Raw genomic sequence first — 21,620 nt, forward strand, 5'->3', positions numbered from 1 at the left:
TATGCGCAGGGCTGAGAATGGGGTTTGCAGCCGGGCTTTCCCGTCCAGGGCAAGCTTTCCCAACATCAGAGCTGGCCCCAGGCCTCTGGGATCCCAGTCGGGTGTGAGGACTTCAACCCGAGGTTGGCCTGTGCCCGGGATGGCTGCCCTCCAACACTCGGTTTCCAAATTGTCTCTGTCCCTGTTTCTACTGTCTGTTTCCTCTTTCTTTGCTTCACCCTGGTTGTCTTTATCTTCGTTCTGCAATCACAACCAGCCCTTGTGTAGTGTTGACTGTGCATCAGGCTCTCTTCTATGTAATTGACACAGACATATCATCTCATTTTTGTACCAGGGCAGCCCTGGAGGTGTAGCTGAGAAAGAGAACGCTTAATTTATTTTATTTTATTTTATTTTATTTCAGAGACAGAGTCTTGCTTTGTTGCCCAGCCTGTAGTAGTGGTGCAGTCACAGCTCACTTCAGACTCAACCTCCCAGGCTCAAGCAATCCTCCCACCTCATTCTCCATAGTAGCTGGGACTACCGGTGGGTGCCACCACCATTTTTTGTAGCAACCTGGTTTCGCCATGTTGCCCAGGTTGGTCTCTAACGCCTGAGCTCAAGACATCTGCCCGCCTCAGCCTCCCAAAATTCTTGGATTACAGGCATGATCCATTGCACCTGGCCTCATTATTTTCTTAAACCGTTTTTTTCTAGTCTCTTTATCTATGGGTGCATTGATTAAAAGAACTGCAGATGCCCGAAAGGCCACACGAGCTTCAGGACGCTTCCTTTGCTTATTACTGGAGGAAGAAAAGGCTGGGGCAAAACAAGTGCAAACCAGACACAGTGACCCACGGTTACCTTTAGATCATTAATATATAATTATCATGGTAAACTCCCTACCCATGGAGGAAAATACGCTCACCATTTGCTGAACATACATCATATGAAGAGGCATGCTTATGATCTGCACCTGCGTCTGGAGTTGCTCTCTGCGCATGCTTACATACCTCCCCACCCCACAGCTAACTCCTTAAAATTTCCCAGCTCCCCACAGCTGGGCGATAAGGTGTTTTTTGTTTTTTGTTTTTTTTGAGATGGAGTTTCACCCTTGTTGCCCAAGCTGGAGTGCAGTGGCGTGATCTCGGCTCACTGCAACCTCCACCTCCCGGGTTCAAGCAATTCTCCTGTCTCAGCCTCCTGAGTAGCTGGGATTACAGGCACATGCCACCATGCCTGGCTAGTTTTTTGTAGTTTTAGTAGAGATGGGGTTTCACCATGTTGGCCAAGCTGGCCTCAAACTCCTGACTTCAGGTGATCCGCCCGCCTTGGCCTCCCAAAGTGCTGGGATTACAGGCATGAGCTCGCCCAGCAATAAGGTGTCTTTAGAGCAAGAGTTCTCTCCTTCCCCATCCTAGCTAGGAATAAAACCTGCTTGCCTTTTTGTTTCCAATTGGGTGTTCTTTCTTTGCAACCAATGCAGAGTAGGGAAAGAACTGCATTTACAGGTGACAATTTCATTGTCAAAAATGACACAAGCCCGGGTACAGTGGCTCAGGCCTGTAATCCCAGCATGTTGGGAGGCTGAGGAGGGAGGATTGTTTGAGCCCAGGAGTTCGAGACCAGCCTGGGCAATATAGTGAGACCCTGTCTCTACAAAAAGTAAGGGATTTAAAAATTAGCTGGGCATGGTGGTGTTACTGGAAAAGCATCCTGATCCAGACCCCAAGAGAGGGTTCTTAGATCTTGTGCAAGAAAGAATTTGGGGCGAGTCCACAGTGCAAAGCAAAAGCAAGTTTATTTTAAAAAGTAAAGTGGTGGCTGGGTGCAGTGGCTCACACCTGTAATCCCAGCACTTTGGGAGGCCGAGGCAGGTGGATCACTTGAGGTCAGGAGTTCAATACCAGCCTGACCAACATGGCAAAACCCTGTCTCTACTAGAAATACAAAAAAATTAGCCGGGTGTGGTGGTGCACACCTGTAGTTCCAGCTACTTGGAAGGCTGAGGCAGGAGAATTGCAGTGAGCCAAGGTTGCGCCACTGCACTCCAGCCTGGGTGACAGAGCGAGAAAAAAATAAGCAAAGTGGCGAAGGAATAGCTACTCCATAGACAGAGTAGGGTGTTCCTGAAAATAAGAGGAGGAATGGGCCCACCCTAGGTACAATGCTTGTTTATAACAAAAAATATCATGGGGAGATGTGCTCTGCTACCAGGGTTTGTGACAAAGGATTAAATTTCTTAATTATCATATTTTGCAAAAACCGATATTACTATCTTTAAAGCAAAACGAGGAATGCTTCTGATGAAGAATGCTTCTGTTCTCAAGATACCGAGATTTCAGGACATTCCTGAGCCTGAGTCTCTTTAGTAAATGTTATCAATCTGTTCCATTAACAGTAAACATCTAGAGGCTAGGAATGCCTAACTTCCTGGAAATGCAGCTCAGCAGGTCCCAGCCTCCTTTTTCCTAGCCCTCACTCAAGATGGAGTCGCTCTGGTTCAAATGCCTCTGACAGTGGCACACACCTGTAGTCCCAGCTACTCATGGGGCTGAGATGAAAGGATCCCTTGAGTCTGGGAGGTTGAGGCTGCAGTGAGCTGTGATTGTGCCACGGCACTCCAGCCTGGGCGACAGAGTGAGAGACTGTCTCAAAAAAAAAAAAAAAAAAAAAGACACAAACCAGGCACAGTCGCTCATGCCTGTAATCCCAGCACTTTGGGAGGCCGAGGTGGGCAGATCACCTGAGGTCAGGAGTTCGAGAGCAGCCTGACCAACATGGAGAAACCCCATCTCTACTAAAAATACAAAATTAGCCAGGCATGGTAGTGCATGCCTTTAATCCCAGCTATTCGGGAGGCTGAGGCAGGAGAATCACTTGAACCCGGGAGGCGGAGGTTGCAGTGAGCCGAGATCACGCCATTGCACTCCAGCCTGGGCAACAAAAGTGAAACTCCGTCTCAAAAAAAAAAAAAGACACAAAAGGGAGGTTCTATTACCTTATTTTACAGATGGAAAACTGAGGCCCAGGAAAGTAAAGGAACTGTTCCAAGATACACAGCTAATAAATGGCAGAGGTGGGGTTTGAACCCACACACTCTGCAGTTTCAAAGCTTGTTCTCTATGCCATAACTGCCCTTATCTTTTTCAGCGTCTCCTCCTGTGTCTTGCTTTCTCTTTCTCTCTCTCTCTCTGTTCCTGTCTCTGTCTCTGGCGTGACTCCATCTTTCTTATTCATTTTTCCAACAAGCATCCTGCCCCAGGTCGCTCTGTCTGTCTCAATCAATCTCTTTTTGTTTAAACATAAAATCTACTTCTTTTTCTGATAAAATTAGCCATGCATGTTCAGTGGATAAAGCTTGAAAAATACACAAAAACATAAAAGAAAAAAAACATCACCTATAACTTCACCATCCTCCTCTCATCCCTCATCCCACTTCTGGAACAAATCGTCCCAATACATAGGAATTTTCCATGTGTTTATTTGTGCATATGTTTTCTGACTACCAAAGTAACACTTGTTCCTTGTAAAAGATTCCATCCATACAAAAACATACAACATGGAGAGTTAAAGTAAGTCTTGTATTTCACCTCCTGGAGGTAAATATTTTTTAACAATTTGTCACTGTTCCTCCTTTTGTTTTCCTTTCTGTGAGCAATTTCACCCAAATTGGAACCATGCTGTATACAGTTTGGTAGCTGGCTTTTTATGTCTTACCATTATCTCTCATTTGCATTCTCCCACATCTTTAATTATAGCGTATCAGTTAGGGCCCAGCAGGAAACAGATGGCCCGTCAATTTAGGATAATTTGAGGTGGGGTTGATACCAGAAGCCTTTATAAAGCGATTGGATAGTAAAGGCAAATGACAAGAGCTAGTGCAAGCTCCTGGGGCCAGCATGGGTGAGGGGCCTCATCCACAGGCCTAAAGGAAGGGGAGAGGGTTGAGGGTGTGCATGTGGTTGCCTGACTTGGGGAGGAGAGAGTCACTTAGATTTGTGGAGGAAACAGATGAATTGTGGTGGCCCAGCACAGGGAGGAGCCCTGGGGAAAAAACACCTGACCTCCTCTCCCCTCTACCTGGGGCCCAGAGTAGGTTGGAGAAGCAGGGACAGTAGATAAGGAGGGGCAAACGGAAGACATCCCCCACCCCCACACCACTATTAGAGCTTCCATTCCAGCAGGATCATTTAATAACCAACCCCTGATTGGTAGGGTGGCAGGTTTTTCATTTCCTCAACAGTGTCTTTTGCAGAGCAGAGGTTGCTTTTTGTTTTTGTTTTTTTGGACATGGTCTCAGTCTGTAGCCCAAGCTGGAGCATAGTAGTGGCACAATCGCCACTCACTGCAGCCTCCATCACCCAGGCTCAAGCCATCCTCCCACCCCAGCCTCACAAGTAGCTGGGGCGCCAGCTACCTGTAGTAGGCACGTGCCACCAGGCCCAGCTAACTTTTCTTTTTTTCCCCAGAGATGCAGTCTCACTTTGTTGGCCAGGCTGGTATGTTTCCATTCCAACATTCTTGAGATGACAAAATTATAGAAATGGAGAGCAGATTAGTGGTTGACAGAGGTTAAGGAAGGGGTCGGATGGGAGAGGAGTGGACGTGGCTACTGAAAGGGCAACACAAGGGATCTTGTGGTATGGAGTGTTTTGTATCTTGTCTGTATCAATGTGATATGGTTAGGCTTTGGGTGCCCACCTAAATCTCATCTTGAATTGTAATCCCCAGGTGTTGAGGGACAGACCTGGTGGGAAGTGATTGGATCTGATCATGGGGGTGGTTCCCCCATGCTGTCCTTGTGATAGTGAGTGAGTTCTCACGAGATCTGATGGTGTTTTAAGTATTTGGAAGTTCCTCCTTCTTTCACTGTCTCTCTCTCCTGCCACCATGTAAGAGGTGCCTGCTTTCCCTTCCATCATAATTGTAAATTTCCTGAGGCCTCCCCAACCATGCAGAACTGCGAGTCAATTAAACCTCTTTCCTTTATAAATTACCCAGTCTCAGGTAGCATCTTCATAGCAGTATAAGAATGGACTAATACACAATGTCAATATTCTCTATGTGATATAATACCATGGTTTTCGCAAGATGTTACCATTGGGGGAAACTGGGTAAAGGGTACACAGTAACTCTTTGCATTCTTTTTTTTTTTTTTTTTTTTGCACGTTTCATTTGTTTATTGATTTCCGCCTGATTACTCCAGAAGGTAATTACTTAAGATGCTTAAGATGGGTGGGGGGGTGATTTCAGCATCGCCCACCTTCACCTGTGGGAAGACCTCCGAGCATGTACAGTAAGACACACAGTCATATCTTGGGGAGCTCTCTGCAGGTGAACTGCAGGCCCCCAGCCCCATGCTGGGTAAAGTAATGAAGCAACAGCCGCTTTCCTAAGCCCGAGTGACCCAAGCTACTTCTGCGCAGGTTGTGAAACAGGGTTTAGGTTTCTCCCCTCTTGGACAAGAGGCCAGGGGTCTGCCCCATCAGCCTGCTTTCCTGGTGGGTCACGGACCATCATCACCTGGCTGGTCTGGAAGGGTTTAACCACAGCGGATCATGTGGCGACCAGAGCCGGGGCAGCTGTCAAGGGCAGCCTCCATTTCCATTCTGTCTCGTAAGCAGCCTGGGAGATGTGGGCCTAAGCTTTGGTGAGGATGAGAGTCTGTCTTGAAATTGGGCCCCACAGGGGTGAGTCCAGAGGCAGGACCGGGAAGGAAAGGTCGAAGGTCGGGCGTAACATCATTCAAAGACCAGCCACGCCCAGACCACACCCCTGAGATGCCTTATCAGGTGAGCAGGAGGCTAAGTCAGCCGACAGTGTGGCCACACAGCCCAAGCCTGTCCTAGCAGAAGGCAGGAACCATCAGCAAATAAGTGACTTTTCCAAGAAACAAGATCTTGTTCAGAGCTGCGGCCTTGGGAGCCTTGATGTTTCAGCCATTGTGCCCTGCCTTCCTGTCTCAATGTCCAGGTCTCGAATTCCATGGTAGAATGGCCAGTGTGTGGCCTTAGTGCCGTGGCCATCTGGGGTCGGTGTGGGCTGCCCGCCTAGTGCGCCTGGGAAGCAGAAGTTTCTTTGCCTTTAGGGACAAACTTCAGCGAGCTGCTGAATATTCATTCAGAATCGGGACTGCCGCAGCTTGGGGCCATCGTTCAGGAACTTGTGGCTCAACGTGTTGCCACACTTGCACGAGACACCTTCAAGACTTCAGGATGATTGTGCTCTGGGCGCTTGGCCACGCTGTCAGAACGGATGGTCTTGGTGAACACCGGCCAGGGGAATGAGTATGTGTACTTTGAGCGGCTGGGAAACAGCTCATAGCCACACTTGGCACACATATAGACGCCTGGCTCAAAGTGATTCTGGAAAACCTTGCCCCCGAAGAAGCTGCAGAATGACATGGCGCCGCCAGGACCACTGTGCACTTGCCCCCTCCAACAGACCCAAGGCCGCTGACCCCATGACCACTGGGACCCGCGCCCACCTCCCTGCACCTCCCAAGAACCTATCTCTTTGCATTATTTCTTACAATTGCACGTGAATCCACAATTATGTCAAAGTAAAAACTCTAATTAAAGCAATCATACAGACATATTTCCTTGGGAAATATGATTTCCTAAATCATGATTTCCTAAATATGATTTAGGAATATGATTCCTAAATATGATTTCCTAAATATGATTTCCTAAATATGATTTCCTAAATCATACAGACATATTTCCTTGGGAGCTATACATGCATTATGCAAATATATAAAATATGGATAATATATAAAATGTTTAGAAATGTATAAAAAAGTGTGCAAGGATATGTCCCAAACTGATTAATAGTGAGTTATTTATCACTGGAGAGAGCATGGGAACTGAGGAGATGATCACTGGAATATTTAAATGTATTAGCAATATTTTAATTTCTTTTTTTTTTTTTTTTTTTTTGAGACGGAGTCTTGCTCTGTCGTTCAGGCTGCCGTGCAGCGGCATGATCTTCGCTCACCGCAACCTCCGCCTCCCAGGTTCAAGCGATTATCCTGCCTCAGCCTCCCAAGTAGCTGGGATTACAGGTGTCTGTAAAAATTAGCCACCACACCTGGCTAATTTTTGTATTTTTAGTACAGATGGGGTTTCACCACGTTGGCCAGGCTGGTCTCGAACTCCTGACCTCAGGCAATCTGCCTGCCTCAGCCTCCCAAAGCACTGGGATTACAGGCATGAGCCACTGCGCCTGGCCGTATTTTAATTTCTTACAAGGAGAATGAATTCTGCCTAACTAAACAGTAAAACAAACAAACTCACTGGATATGAGGGAAATGGTAGCTCACTGCTTCTTCAGTTGCTGGTCGGGTAGATCATTTGTGAGACTTTCTTAAAAAGTACATTAATCCAATTTCTAGAGCTTCTCTTTTTGTTTTTTTGAGACAGAGTCTCGCTGTGTCACCCAGGATGGAACTCAGTGGTGAAATCTCAGCTTACTGCATCCCAGGTACAAGCAATCCTGCTACCTCAGCCTCCCAAGTAGCTAGGATTACAGGCACCCACCATCACACCTAGCTAATTTTTGTGTTTTTAGCAGAGACGGGGTTTCGCCATGTTGGCCAGGCTGGCCTGGCACTCCTGACCTCAAGTGATCCACCCACCTTGGCCTCCCAAAGTGCTGGGATTACAGGTGTGAGAGTCCCTGCACCAGGAGAGACTGGCCTCTAGAGCTTCTGATAATGGCTTTGTAAAACGTTGTCCTTATCCTCTGCCACTTTGCTGCTGTGTGGGTGTTCACTGACCCCTCCTGATCTGCACCTCTGAGGCTTGCCTGCCCTCTTGCTTATGGTTGGTGTTTAGCCAGTGGAGGTGCTGGCAGGAGATTGAGGGAGGGCAGAGAGCAAGGTGGGGGTGTTTATTCTCCTATTTGCTGGCTGCCCCCTGCAAGTCTGGAGTTAGACAGTGGCCGTGATCCTCTATCTACAGCCACAGTCTTTGTCCTGTCATGCCTAGGAGTGCTAACAGCTCCCCCTGTTACTTGCCTCTGGGTGCACCACCACCTCTTGTGTCTTCCTTAACCCTGCCCACTTTTCCCGTGCTTAAATGTTCAAGTAGGTCATCTACTTCCTGAAGATTTCTATTTTTTTTCCCCTGAGTTTTCTTAATAGAAATGTTTGAGACTGAGGTCATTAAAGACTCACATGCTGCTATAAGCAAAAATTCAGGCTAGGCTTGGTGGCTCATGCCTATGATCCCAACAATTTGGGAGGCCAAGGCAGGAGGATTGTTTGAGTCCAGGAGTTCAAGACCAGCCTGGGCAACATAGCAAGAGCCCATCTCCACACACAAGATATAAAAATTAGCTGGGTGTGGTGGCACCCACCTGTAGTTTCAACTACTCAGGGGCCTGAGGTGGGAGGATCACTTGAGCCTGGGAGGTGGAGGCTGCAGTGAGCCGTGATGGTGCCACTGCACTCCAGCATGGTGACAGAGCGAGACCCTGTCTCAAAAAGAAAAAGAAAGAAAGAAATATTAGAGATTCTGTGCACCCTTTATCCAGTTTCCCCCAATGGTAATATCTTACAAAATGCTAGTCCAATACCGCAGCCGGATATTGACATTAATACAGTCCACCCATCTTATTCAAATATCCCCAGTTTTACTTGCATTGAGTGTGTTTGTGTATTCTTGTGTGTGTGTTTAGTCATACAGTTTACTGTATACAATTTAGTTATATAATTTCATCACATGCTTAGGTTCATGTATGCATCACCACAGTAAAGACAGAAGAGTTCCATCACCATGAATATCCTTGGGGCCATGCCATCTTTTTTTTTTTTTTTTTTTTTGAGACAGAGTCTTGCTCTGTCGCCAGGCTGGAGTGCAGTGGCGAGATCTCAGCTCACTGCAACCTCCACCTCTCAGGTTCACACCATGCTCCTGCCTCAGCCTCCAGAGTAGCTGGGACTACAGATGCCCGCCGCCACGCCTGGCTAATTTTTGGTATTTTTTTTTTAGTAGAGACGGGGTTTCACCGTGTTAGCCAGGATTGCCTTGATCTCCTGACCTCGTGATCTGCCTGCCTCGGCCTCCCAAAGTGCTGGGATTACAGGCGTGAGCCACCGCACCTGGCCCTTTTTTATAACCACACCCACCTTCCTCCCTCCACCATCTTTCCCTAACTCCTTGAAACAACTAATTTATTCTCCACTTTCAAATTTTTCTCATTTGAAAAATGTTATATAGCCCAGGTGCAGTGGCTCATGCCTGTAGTCCCAGCACTTTGGAAGGCTGAGGTGGGAGGATCACTTAGAGCCCAGGAATTTGAGACCAGCCTGGACAATATAGGGCAACCCTGTCTCTACAAAAAATACAAAAATTAGCCAGGCACGGTGGCATGTTGTAGAGTCTAGCCCCAATGGCCTGTGGGTTTTTTCTTTGTGTGCAGAGACGAGAGATTGTAGGAAAATAAAAACACGAGACAAAGAGATAGAAGGAAAGACAACTGGGCCCAGGGGACCACTGCCACCAATGTGCGGAGTCTGGTAGTGGCCTCAAATGCCTGGACGCACTGCTATTTATTGTATACAAGGCAAGGAGGCAGGGTAAGGAGTATGAGTCATGTCAAGTGATTGATAAGGTCACGTGAGTCACGTGTCCACATGACAGGGGGCCTTTCCCTTTGTGGTAGCTGAGGCGGAGAGGGAGGACAGCATACGTCAGCATTTTTTCTATGCACTTATCAGAAAGATCAAAGACTTTAATACTTTCACTAATTCTGTTACTGTTATCTTCTAAGAACTCAAAAAGAGGAGCCAGGTGTACAGGCGGAACATGAAAGTGGACAAGGAGCGTGACCGTTGAAGCACAGCACCATGGGGAGACGTTTAAGCCTCCAGATGACTGCGGGCAGGCCTGGCTAATGTCAGGCCTCCCACAAGAGCTGGTGGAGCAGAGTGTTCTCTAACTCCCCCAGGGAAAGGGAGACTCCCTTTCCCGGTCTGCTAAGTAACGGGTGCTCTCCCAGGCACTGGCGCTACCGCTAGACCAAGGAGCCCTCAAACGGCCTTTATCCGGGCGTGACAGAGGGCTCACACTCTTGTCTTTTGGTCACCTCTCACAGTGTCCCTTTAGCCCTGACTCTGTACGGCCTGTTTTCTCCTAGGTTATAATTATAAAACAGAAATTACTATAATAATAAAACAAAGAGTAATACTACAAACTAATGATTGATAATATTCATATATAATCATATCTATATCCTATTTCTAGTATAACTTTTCTTATTATAATTATTTTCTTTATTATACTGGAACAGCTTGTGCCTTCAGCCTCTTGCCTCGGCACCTGGATGGCTTGCCGCCCACAGCATGTGCCTGTGGTCTCAGCTACTCTGGAGGCTGAAGTGAGAGGATTGCTTGAGCCCAGGAGGTCAAGGCTGAAGTGAGCCATGATTTTGCAACTGCACTCCAGCCTAGGTGACAGGGCAAGACTCTCAACTTTAAAAAATGTGTGTGTGTGTGTGTGTGTGTGTGTGTGTGTGTGTGTGTGTGTATGATAATGAAGTAGTATGTAACCTTCTGGGATGGGCTTTTTTCACTCAGCATAATTCTCTGGATATTCATCCAAGTTGTTGCATGTATCAATAGTTCATTCCTATTTGATGGTATATATTTGCCAGAATTTGTGTAATCATGCACCTTTTGGAGGACAACTGGGCTTTGTAGTTTGGGCTATTACAAATAAAGTTGCTGTGATCATTTGCAAAGCAAATAACTATGTTATTGCATGGACATAGGTTTCCATTTCTCTGGAATAAATATCCAGGCATACCATTCTGGGCCAACTAGGAGTTGCATATTTAGTTTTACAGGAAACTACTGAACTGTGTTTCAGAATGGCTGCACCATTTTTCCATTCCCACCAGCAATGTATGAGTGATCCAGTTCCTAGATCATTTTTGAGTTATACTCACAAATAAATGTTCTCCAAAGCTTTTTATTATTTCTTAAATTCCTGAAGTAGTGTTTCTAACAGACTAGGGGTCTCAAGCAGTGGATCACAAGACACATTTCTATTGGGACAGCATTAAATTGAATTTTTTATTGCACATAACCTGCTCTGTGGTGGTCAGAGCTGGATCACTGATTGTCAATAATTTGCATCTGGCGCTTTCCTCCAACCAATCTATGACACTCCGTTCTTTCTGCCATTACTAATTTTCCTTCTAGTTCTTCAGTCTTTGGACATATATAATTTTATTTCGGCCTCATGGTATCTATCAGTTAGGACACTTTTGGTTGTAAATAACCAAAAACTCAACTCATGCTGGCTTGAACACTGGAGAATTTTTGAGCTTACAAAACTGAGAAGCCTAGGGTTAGTGGTGAGGCTTCAGGTTAAGTTTGATCTAGCAGCTTAAGACATGAGTAACCTCCCAGTTGGTTAGTTGTCTGTTTGTTTGTTTGTTTGTTTTTTGAGATGGAGTCTCACTCAGTCACACAGGCTGGAGTGCAGTGGCATGATCTCGGCTCACTGCAACCTCCGCCTCTAGGGTTCAAGCAACTCTCCTGCCTCAGCTCCCTGAGTAGCTGGGGTTACAGGTGCACATCACCATGCCTGGCTAATTTTTGTATTTTTAGTAGAGACGGGGTTTCACCATGTTGGCCAGGCCTGTCTCGAACTCCTAACCTCAGGTGATCTGCCTGCCTCGGCCCCAAAGTTCTGAGGTTACAGGCATGAGCCACGGCACCCAGCCTCAGTTTGTTTGCTTGTTTGTTTTTAAATATTTCAGGTCTCCCTTATGCTGATGAGAAGCCTGTTTACTCTTGTAAATCCAACATGGGTCTAGCAGCATCCCAGGCTTCAGGCTTCAGGTTTTATTTTTCTTCAGTAGATAAAAAAAAAAAACAAAAAAACAGCATCTTTTTCCCAAGATGTTCAGGACCGAAGATCATTCTGATTGAACTGGATTAGGTCACATGCCCACCACAAACCCAATCACTGTGGCTAAGAAGACAAACTGATGTAAATGGCTACAGCCAGATCACATACCCCATCCCAGGGATGGGGAGGGGGCTAAATCATCTTCCCAAAACTATTTAGCTCCCCAACTGAAATGGGGGATCTCAGGAAAGACTGGGGAGAGGTGATAGAAGCTTGGAAATTATATTCCATGGACACTTTTTGAAATCTTTTTTTTTTTTTTTTTTTTGAGACAGGGTCTCTCTCTGCCACCCAGGCTGGAGTGCAGTGGCACAATCTCGGCTCACTGCAACCTCCCCATCCCTGGATCAGGCAGTTCTCCTGCCTCAGTCCCCTGAGTAGCTGGGATTACAGGTACGTGCCACCTGACCAGCTAATTTTTTTATTTTTAGTAGAGACGGGGTTTCACCATGTTGGCCAGGCTTTGCTGGTTCTTAAAACCTCTATGCCTTTGAATAGGAAAATATGCACTGGCAAACCATAAAATAATTTTCTCATACTCATGCTGAGGAAGACATATAACCATGAAAAACAGTCACTACTTACCCATAATTATCAATATTTATATAAACCTAATTAGAATTAATTAAAAGTGGTCTCAAGTAGGAAGCGTGCCTGACTTACTCAAAACATACCTAGGGCTGGGTGCAGTGGCTCACACTTGTAATCCCAACACTTTGGGAGGCCAAGGCAGGAGGATCGCTTGAGGCCAAGAGTTTGGACCAGCCTGGGCAACATACTGAGATCCTGTCTCTACAAAAAATTTAAACACTAGCTGGCATGGTGGTGCATGCCTATAGTCTCAGCTACGTGGGAGGATCGCTTGAGCCCAGGAGGTTGAGGCTACAGTGAGCTGTGATCATACCACTGCACTCCAGCCTGGGAACAGAGCGAGACTGTATCTCAAAAACAAACAAAAAACATATGTAGGCTATTCTGTATGGGATAGATCAGTCATACAGATGAGAGATGGCAGAGTATTGCCAATAATAACCCAGGGAGCCTGGGATCAAATCCCCATTTCACACCTACAAGCTGTGTGAGCTCGTGTTTCATTCATAACCTCTCTGTGCCACCGTTCTTTCTTCTACAAAATGTCAGCCAATAACCAGTCAACTACCTAACAGTTGCTGGGGAGAAAAAAAAAAAAACAGATATTTACATGAGAAGAGCTTAGAATGGAGCCAGGAAGTGCTGAGTATATATTAGCTATATATATATATATATACACACACAAAACAGTAGTTGAGAAAAACATGTCTGTAATTCCAATTTTCAACAGCAAACTAACAATACTTTATTAAGTGGTAAACAAATAAATATTATATTCATATAACAATATGAAAGCCAGAGATAGCTCGTCTGAGACACAGATGAACAAAAACCAGAGAGAGGGGGCCAGGTGCAGTGGCCCACACCTGTAATCCCAGTGCTTTGAGAGGCCAAGGTGGGATGACAGCTCGAGGCCAGGAATTTAAGACCAGCCTGGGCAACAGAGTGAGACCCCCATCTCTACAAAAAAAAAAATAGAAGAATTATCTGGGCATGGTGGTGGGTGCCTGCAGCTCCAGCTGCTTAGGGACTACTTAAAGCTGAAGCAGGAAGATCCTTGGAGCCCACAGGATTGAGGTTACAGTGAACTGTCATCTCACCACCACACTCCAGGCTGGGCCCAGAGACAGTGAAGCCCTGTCTCTAAAAAAGAAGAAAGAAAAGAAAAGACAAACAAACAAACAAACAAAAAAAAAAACAGAAGAGAAGGGGGAGTATTCAGGGTGTAAACCAAAATTAAAATTCTAAGGCCCCCCGCAACCATCTGAATGGATCCTGTCCTCTCCGCCAAGGGCATTCCAAAGTTAACCTGAAAAACCAGTTCGGGCCATAATTGCAAGGGGGAGTGGGACGTGCCTCATCATAGCCTCCTGCTTTTTGGAATTACTGATAGAAGAGAACTTTAAGTCTGATTTTTTTTAAAATTACAATCTATTTTCTCTGAAGCCTGCTATCTGGAGGCTTCATCTGCACACACACTCAATGTAAGTAAAACAGGATATCTGAATAAGATAGGTGGATTGTGTCAATATCAATATGCTGGTTGTGGTATTGGACTGGAGGTTTGTAAGATGTTAGTTACCATTAGGAGAAACTGGGTAAAGGGTGCACAAGATCTCTGCATTTTCTTCCCTTCCTTCCTTCCTTCCTTCCTTCCTTGGTCTCCACAACCCCTTATGGTAACCCAGACCTTCCTTTCTATTGATAATAACTCAACCAATTGCCCATCAGAAACTCTTTGAATCCCCCTATGACTTGGAAGCACACCCTGGCTTCCACTTGTCCTGCCTTTCTGGATGGAACTAATGTACATCTTACGTGCATTGGTTGATGCCTTATGTCTCCCTAAAGTGTATAAAATCAAGTTGTGGGCCAGGAGCGGTGGCTCACGCCTGTAATCCCAGCACTTTGGGAGGCTGAGGCGGGCGGATCACCTGAGGTCAGGAGCTCAACACCAGCCTGGCCAACATGGCAAAACCCCATCTCTACTAAAAAGGCAAAAGTTAGCTGGGCATGGTGGTGCACGCCTGTAGTCCCAACTACTTGGGAGGCTGAGGCAGAAGAATCACTTGAACCTGGGAGGTTGCGGTTGCAGTGAGACAAGTTCGTGCCAGTGCACTCAAGCCTGGGCAATAGAGCGCGACTCCGTGTCAAAAAAAAAAAAAAAAAGTTGTGGCCGGACAACCTTGGGCACATGGTTCTCAGGATCTCCTGGGGGCTGTGTCACAGGCCATTGGTCACTCATATTTGGCTCAGGATAAATCTCTTCAAGTGTTTTTTAGAGTGTGACTCTTCTCATTCATTGACAAGGGAAAGAAAGATACAAAGACAGGGACAGACAAACAGAAATGTAATGAGAAAGCAGAGAAAGATGAAGGAGACAGCATGGGAAAGCCAGTTGTGAACACCCGATGGCAGGCATTTAAATGATTTGGTAGCTCTGCCAAGCCTGTAGCTTCAAAGAAAAGGAAAAAGTGTCTCGGTTCATTCCTAGAGTACAGAAGACAGATCAGACAGAGGCAAAGAGAGACAAACAGATGTCCAGAAAACAGACACAGGCAGTTGGCTCAGGATAGAGAGTTGGAGGCCAGCCGTCCCTGGCATAGGCCCACCGTGGGTTAAAGTCCTCACACCCCGACTGGGATCCCAGAGGGCTGGGGCCAGCAGTGACGTTCCGAAATCTTGTCCAGGACGGGGACCGGCTGCAAACCCTCTCAGCCCTGCACATAAAAGCCAGCATGGTCCGTCGAGGCACTGTTGCCCAGGTGGAGACTGCTCCGGACGCCCCCCAGGGGACAGTGGCCGGCAGCACCTGCTGCAGCACGAGGCACAGAGGGTGCACTGCAGGGAGAAGTGAGGGCAGAGGCCAAGGCGAGGAGGGGGCCGGCTCCCGCTCTCTCTCCCTCTGTGTGTGCTGCGCCTCCCCTGTGAGCCTAACCCAAGGCAGGGGACTGGACGCGTGGGACCCTCTCTTTGGCCTCCCTGACGTCCCTCAGGAGCAGAGATGCGACCGAGTGTGTGGGCCGCGGTGGCCGCGGGACTGTGGGTCGTGTGCACGGTGGGCGCGGCGATCCGCCAGCGCTGCCTGCTCTCGCACTACCGCTCGCTGGAGCCCCGGACGCTGGCGGCGGTCAAGGCGCTGAGGAACCGCTAAGTGAGTGACCGCCCAGCCCTTGCGCCCCCCGGTACACTGGCCCCGCCGGGTTCCCACACACCCGTCGCTGACCCGAGGGGTCCTGCGTCCTAGCGCCCAGCAGGCGCCTCTTGTACGTCAGAGCCCACAGTTCCCACCACGAGATCCCCGCAGTCCCCGTCGTCAGCGCGAACGCAGGCTCAGGGTCAGTCACAAAAGGAGCCCTGCAGGGCGGACTCGGCTCCAGGTCGCGGGCGCAGGGCTATGCCGGGGGAGAGCGGGATGCAATTCAACCCTGGTTCACGCCTTCGGGGAGCTCCCTGGTTCAGTACACGACAGGCACGACCGTACGCTGCCAGTACCCATCCACGTCCAGGAATCCCAGACTGTGCAGAGGTTAGGGGCCCTGGCGAGGGGGCCCAGTCGTATGCGATAAGCGCCGCTTGTCCCGCAGGCGGAAGAGGCGCTGAGTTGGAGGTCGCGCAACTGCTCCGTCCGCCCCAGGAGGGATCCTCCGCGGCCATCGGTGAGGCCCAGAAGCGGACGGGAGAGGCATGGCCTGGGCGCTGCCCCCTCTAACGCCCTCTAGTCCCCGCAGTCCTGCGCTCGGCTCCGCCACGTGGCCAGGAGCATCGCGGACGCCCAGGCAGTGCTCAGCGGCCTGCACCGCCTGGAGCTGCTTCCCGGCGCCAGCCGGATCCTGGAGCCCCTGGCAGCCGCGGGGAGGGACGTGGCGGCCTGCGTGAGTGACGGCCGCGCCCCGCCGCCCCTCGCCCCCGCCAGCTTCTCTGCATCCTCAGGCCCATGGCGAGCCCCAGCGCTTTGCCAATCTGTCCTGCTTAGCGGAAAAACCGATCCAGACCCAGGTCGGGTCCTCTGGGTGTCCTCAAATCCGGGCTCGGGTCTGCGGCTGGGAGGGCCTCGGGCAGATGCAGAGAGGGGCTCCGTCCTTCGCCTTTTCCATTTGCCTCGCGTCCCACCTCCAGCTGGCACGGCCAGGCTCCTCCAGGAAGGTCCCCGGGGCCCAGAGGAGGCGTCACAAACCGCGGAGAGCTGTGAGTGCAGCAGGCAGTACAGGGTTAGCCTGCACGGAGGACCGAGTGAGGTTGACACGGACAGCACTGAGGCTGGGAGCGGCGGGATTGGAGAGGTCTTCTCGGGAGGGAAGAGCCTGGCTTAGCCCCGCTGCCCTCCCTCCCTGGCTCCAGGACTCCCCTCGGTGTCGCGAAGCCAGCGTGATCTTCAACCTCCTGCGCCTGCTCACGTGGGAGCTCCGGCTGGCTGCACACTCAGGGCCTTGCCTCTGACCCCGCCCCCTCCGGCAGCACGGAAACCTCCACGCCATTGGCTGCCGAAAGAGGTCCCTGTCGCCCATTGGGCCGGCCAGGCGAGGATCTCAGCCAGTGGGTGCTGAGGCACGAGAACTTCTTCGCAGCCTTGGGCCTGACTTGGATCCACTGTCTCAGATATAAGAGGAGCGGGTCCTTCTACAGGGAAGAGACCACAGTTCTCCAGGAAGCCACGATATTTCCTCGGGGTGCATTGTACGACCCTCCAACGGTTGCTATGGCAGGAAAAAACTTGAGCTCTGGAAACCGTGGCTGACCCCAGGCAACAGGGACCAGTTCCTCCTTGTGTGGTTACCAGGACACCCCCAACACCAGGTCCTAACCCCGGATTTGTAGCCCCACAGCCAGCTTTGAGATTCTGTGAATCCGTGACTCTTGGATCCGGCATCTAAGGGACACCAATCCATGAGGGATTTGGTAGTGAAAGGCCCAAGGGTCCTTAACCGACTGTGGTTCTTTGGATTCCCTTACGTGTGTTTGTATTTGTGAAGTTCCTGTGCATTTGCTATTCTGTCTCCCGGTTTAAATTTATTGCCAGTTATCAAAGAGTGTTTTGATCGCATTGGTTGTTTTCCGTATGATGATTGTGAGGTGCACCTTACAGCAAAAAAAGAGGCCGAGCCAGGGACTCAGGTGGCCTGAGGTTCAGTTCTGACCCTGCCAGTTAATTACAGTGGAATTCAGGGCAAATTACTTTTCTGAGCCTCTGTTTCCTCACCTATAGGATGGGTTAGCATACTTGCCTTGTGGAGGAGTAGTGTCCGTTGAGATCACGTTTTAAACTCTCCAACTGAGGTCCTAGTATGGTCTTAATGAGTGGATTCTATTAAATAATCACTCACATAAATACACAAACAATTGTGTTATTAATTTTTTCTCCAAATCTGTGCATTAGCAATCTGCGTTGCTGAATGCACCCCTCCTTGCCAAGGTCACACGGCTAGTGAGGGTCAGAACCAGGTTTGAACCCCAGACCCTTCATCTCCAAGACCCATGCTCTTCACCACTGCCTGAACTTCCCTAAGAAAGACGGCACCCACGTGGTGTCCTTCAAGTCCTTCGTCACACCTCAGTTCTTGAGCAGAGCCTCATATTCCTGAGTCCTTCCTTGCCTGGGCAATTAAGAAATATTGGCCTTGGCTGGGCTCAGAGGCTCATGCCTGTAATCCCAGCACTTTGGGAGGACGAGGAAGGTGGATCATGAGGTCAGGAGTTCAAGACTAGCCTGGCCAGCATGGTGAAACCCTGTCTCTACTAAAAATACAGAAATTAGCTGGGCATGGTGGCACATGCCTGTAATCCAAGCTACTCAAGAGGCTGAGGCAGGAGAATCACTTGAACCCAGGAGGCAGAGGTTGCAGTGAGCTGAGATGGTGCCTCTGCACTCCAGCCTGGGCAACAGAGCGAGACTCCATCTCTCTTGCTCACTCACTCTCTCTCATGCTCTCTCTCTCTCTCTCTCTCTCTCTCTCTCTCTATATATATATATATATATATATATACACACACATATATGCCTCTGGCCGGGCGCGGTGGCTCACGCCTATAATCCCAGAACTTTGGGAGGCCGAAGAAGGCAGATCACGAGGTCAGGAGTTCAAGACCAACCTGGCCAATATGGCAAAACCCCGTCTCTACTAAAAATACAAAAATTAGTTGGGCGTGGTGGTGCATGCCTATAGTCCTTTCTACTCGGGAGGCTGAAGCAGAAGAATCCCTTGAACCAAGGAGGTGGAGGTTGCAGTGAGTCGAGATCACGCTGCTGCACTCCAGCCTGGGCTACAGAGCAAGACTCCATCTCAAAAAAAAAAGAAAAAAGAAAGAAAGAAAGAAATCATGGCCTCTGGGCACAGTGGCTCATGCCTGCAACCCCAGCAATTTGGGAGGCCAAGACAGACAGATCACTTGACGTCAAGAGTTCGAGACCAGCCTGGCCAATTGGTGAACTGTCATCTCTACTAAAACCATAAAAATTAGCTGGGAATGGTGGCACAAATCTGTAATCTCAGCTACTTGGGAGGCTAAGGCAAGAGAATCGCTTGAACCCAGGAGGTGGAGGTTGCAGTTAGTCAAGATTTTGCACTGCACTCCAGCCTGGGTGACCGAACAAGACCCTGTCTCAAAATATATATATATATATATGCCAGGAGGGGTGGCTCAGGCCTGTAATCTCAGCACTTTAATAGGCTGGGTGAGGAGGATGGCTTGAGCCCAGGAGTTTGAGGCTGCAGTGAGCTGTGATCATGCCATTGCACTCCAGTGACAGAGTGAGACCCTGTCTTAAACAACAACAAAACCAGAGCAGGTGGAATCCTCCTGGGAACATACCTTCCTGTAGGTTACCCCTGAGTCTCCATCAGTTTCTCTTTCCCTCCAGCTGCTCATCTGGCTCACTAGCCCTGCCCTGCTCTGGGCTTTCCCAGCCTGGGGCTCCCCTGGTGGCCGGTGTCTTACCTGAGGCTGTGTTTTCACTTTTCCTACATCAGCTGGGACTGCCCTTCTGTCAGGGATAAAAGCTGCCCCATGGAGCTCAGGCAGGAATTACATCCCAGACAGAGCTCAAAACTGACAGAAAGAGTCAAAGCCAGGACACAGTCTGAGATCCAGAAGAGGGGACTGAAAAGAACAGAGACTCCAGACAAGACCCAAACAGACCCTGGGTGACAGCCTCAGAGTGTTTCTTCTGCTGACAAAGACCAGAGATCAGGAATGAAACTAGGTGAGTCCCACATCTCTGTCCGTGCTCAGCTCCTGCAGCCCCTGCCCTCAGTGGGCAGCCTCTCCATCCCCTCAGCTCCCTTTCTCTCTGTGACACAGACATGACTGGGGACTGCACGCCAGTGCTGGTGCTGATGGCCGCAGTGCTGACCGTGACTGGAGCAGTTCCTGTCGCCAGGCTCCACGGGGCTCTCCCGGATGCAAGGGGCTGCCACATAGCCCAGTTCAAGTCCCTGTCTCCACAGGAGCTGCAGGCCTTTAAGAGGGCCAAAGATGCCTTAGTGAGTCTCCCCCTGCCCTCCTGCCATGGACTAGCCTCCACCCCCACTCCAAGCGTCACCATGCTTTCCCACTCCCAGCTTCCTTCACTGGGCTAGCCTCCACCCTCCCTGCAGTGGGCTATCTCATGCTCCTACTGTAGGGACTGACTCATGTTTTCCTGTAGAAGAGGGTCCTCTACCATCCTCCCAGCAGTTAACCTCCCCTATCCTGTTGTCAGCCATCCTCCAATCCCACCAGGATGGTCTAACCTCCACCCCTCCTGCTGGGGCTAACCTGTGCCTTTGCTGTCTAGGAAGAGTCGCTTCTGCTGAAGGACTGCAGGTGCCACTCCCGCCTCTTCCCCAGGACCTGGGACCTGAGGCAGCTGCAGGTGAGAGGGGGAGTCAGGCCCACCCCTGCTCTCCCAGCCCCACTCACCTGGCTCTGTAGTGGCCCCTTCACCGTCTCTTTCTCCCTTGTCTCTCTCTCTTCTCCTCACACCTGCTCTCCCTTCCCTCCGCTCCCACCTGACCACACTGGCTGTGCCCTCTCCCCTGTGCCTGTCACCTTCACTTGTTCCTCTCTATCCTGCTCCCCAACCTGTTCCCCTCACCTCCCCCCTCACCTGCTCTTTCTCACCTCTCCTCAGGTGAGGGAGCGCCCCATGGCTTTGGAGGCTGAGCTGGCCCTGACGCTGAAGGTTCTGGAGGCCACCGCTGACACTGACCCAGCCCTGGTGGACGTCTTGGACCAGCCCCTTCACACCCTGCACCATATCCTCTCCCAGTTCCGGGCCTGTGTGAGTCGTTGGGGCCTGGGCACCCAGGTCTGTGAGCTCTGAGCAGCGTCCTTCCCCTTGCCAAGGCCCCGGCTCACACACCGCCCTCCTCTGCCCACAGATCCAGCCTCAGCCCACGGCAGGGCCCAGGACCCGGGGCCGCCTCCACCATTGGCTGTACCGGCTCCAGGAGGCCCCAAAAAAGGTGAGTGACCCGGGAAGAGAGGGACTGAGGTCTGGGGAGCCACTGGGAGCCCAGAACCCAGACAGCCCCTGACCCATCCCCTCCTCCCTACAGGAGTCCCCTGGCTGCCTCGAGGCCTCTGTCACCTTCAACCTCTTCCGCCTCCTCACGCGAGACCTGAATTGTGTTGCCAGTGGGGACCTGTGTGTCTGACCCTCCCACCAGTCATGCAACCTGAGATTTTATTTATAAATTAGCCACTTGTCTTAATTTATTGCCACCCAGTCGCTATTTATGTATTTGTGTGTGTAAATCCAACTCACCTCCAGGAAAATGTTTATTTTTCTACTTTTTATAACCCTTGTTGAAATAAACAAAGGAAAAGACACTCATGACGTTGGACTGTGTGTCTGTTGGTGTGTATTTCCTTTGTGTTGCTGCCATAACAACGCTAAAAGTAGCATCTTCCAAAGACACACTTGATGAGCTGGGAGTCTGCAGGTCAGAGGCTCGCTGGCCCTGGCTGGTTTCTCTCCTGTGGGACTCACAGGCTAGAATCCAAGCATTGCTGCTGGGCTCTTACTGGGAGCTCTGAAGAGAAACTCTTTCCAGGGTCAGTCACATTGTTGGCAGATCACTGTTCCTTGCTGCTGTAGGACTAAGGTTCCTGCCCCCTCCTGGCTATGGGTCCATCCTGAGCTGA

General features: G+C 49.6%; 1 protein-coding gene and 2 pseudogenes across 1 annotated transcript, besides 4 other annotated features; 2 read left to right on the forward strand and 1 right to left on the reverse strand.

The window, feature by feature from the left end:
* MSRB1P1 (methionine sulfoxide reductase B1 pseudogene 1) lies at window positions 5,146-6,498 on the reverse strand (annotated as a pseudogene).
* Window positions 9,341-10,086: a transcriptional cis regulatory region, noted in NCBI's record as "candidate enhancer chr19.4063 targeted for multiplex CRISPR interference". NCBI's record gives its function as "positively regulates SARS2 gene expression with high confidence in K562 cells {active_cell/tissue: K562}" and the evidence as "EXISTENCE:mutant phenotype evidence [ECO:0000015][PMID:30612741]".
* Window positions 15,495-16,073: an enhancer, noted in NCBI's record as "H3K27ac-H3K4me1 hESC enhancer chr19:39755018-39755596 (GRCh37/hg19 assembly coordinates)". NCBI's record gives its function as "activates a minimal SCP1, AML or CMV promoter by ChIP-STARR-seq in primed H9 embryonic stem cells {active_cell/tissue: H9 hESC(primed)}" and the evidence as "EXISTENCE:reporter gene assay evidence [ECO:0000049][PMID:30033119]".
* On the forward strand, window positions 15,499-16,934 carry IFNL4P1 (interferon lambda 4 pseudogene 1; annotated as a pseudogene).
* Window positions 16,074-16,653: an enhancer, noted in NCBI's record as "H3K27ac-H3K4me1 hESC enhancer chr19:39755597-39756176 (GRCh37/hg19 assembly coordinates)". NCBI's record gives its function as "activates a minimal SCP1, AML or CMV promoter by ChIP-STARR-seq in naive and primed H9 embryonic stem cells {active_cell/tissue: H9 hESC(naive and primed)}" and the evidence as "EXISTENCE:reporter gene assay evidence [ECO:0000049][PMID:30033119]".
* Window positions 16,654-17,231: an enhancer, noted in NCBI's record as "H3K27ac-H3K4me1 hESC enhancer chr19:39756177-39756754 (GRCh37/hg19 assembly coordinates)". NCBI's record gives its function as "activates a minimal SCP1, AML or CMV promoter by ChIP-STARR-seq in naive H9 embryonic stem cells {active_cell/tissue: H9 hESC(naive)}" and the evidence as "EXISTENCE:reporter gene assay evidence [ECO:0000049][PMID:30033119]".
* On the forward strand, window positions 19,513-21,305 carry IFNL2 (interferon lambda 2). The gene is made up of 6 exons (NM_172138.2): window positions 19,513-19,695; window positions 19,794-19,975; window positions 20,269-20,346; window positions 20,605-20,754; window positions 20,855-20,938; window positions 21,032-21,305. The coding sequence occupies exons 1-6, from the start codon at window positions 19,686-19,688 to the stop codon at window positions 21,128-21,130; spliced, it is 603 nt and encodes a 200-aa protein (NP_742150.1). The 5' UTR covers window positions 19,513-19,685; the 3' UTR covers window positions 21,131-21,305.
* Window positions 21,306-21,620: the final 315 nt, after the last annotated feature.

The sequence above is a fragment of the Homo sapiens genome, chromosome 19 (assembly GCF_000001405.40).
Source record: "Homo sapiens chromosome 19, GRCh38.p14 Primary Assembly".
Lineage (NCBI taxonomy): Eukaryota > Metazoa > Chordata > Mammalia > Primates > Hominidae > Homo > Homo sapiens.

Bases quoted from the DNA above. Each gene is read 5' to 3' on its own strand.
- IFNL2 (NM_172138.2), top strand. The intron at 19,976-20,268 runs GTGAGTCTCCCC...TTTGCTGTCTAG, and splicing joins AGAGGGCCAAAGATGCCTTA to GAAGAGTCGCTTCTGCTGAA. The intron at 20,939-21,031 runs GTGAGTGACCCG...TCCTCCCTACAG, and splicing joins TCCAGGAGGCCCCAAAAAAG to GAGTCCCCTGGCTGCCTCGA.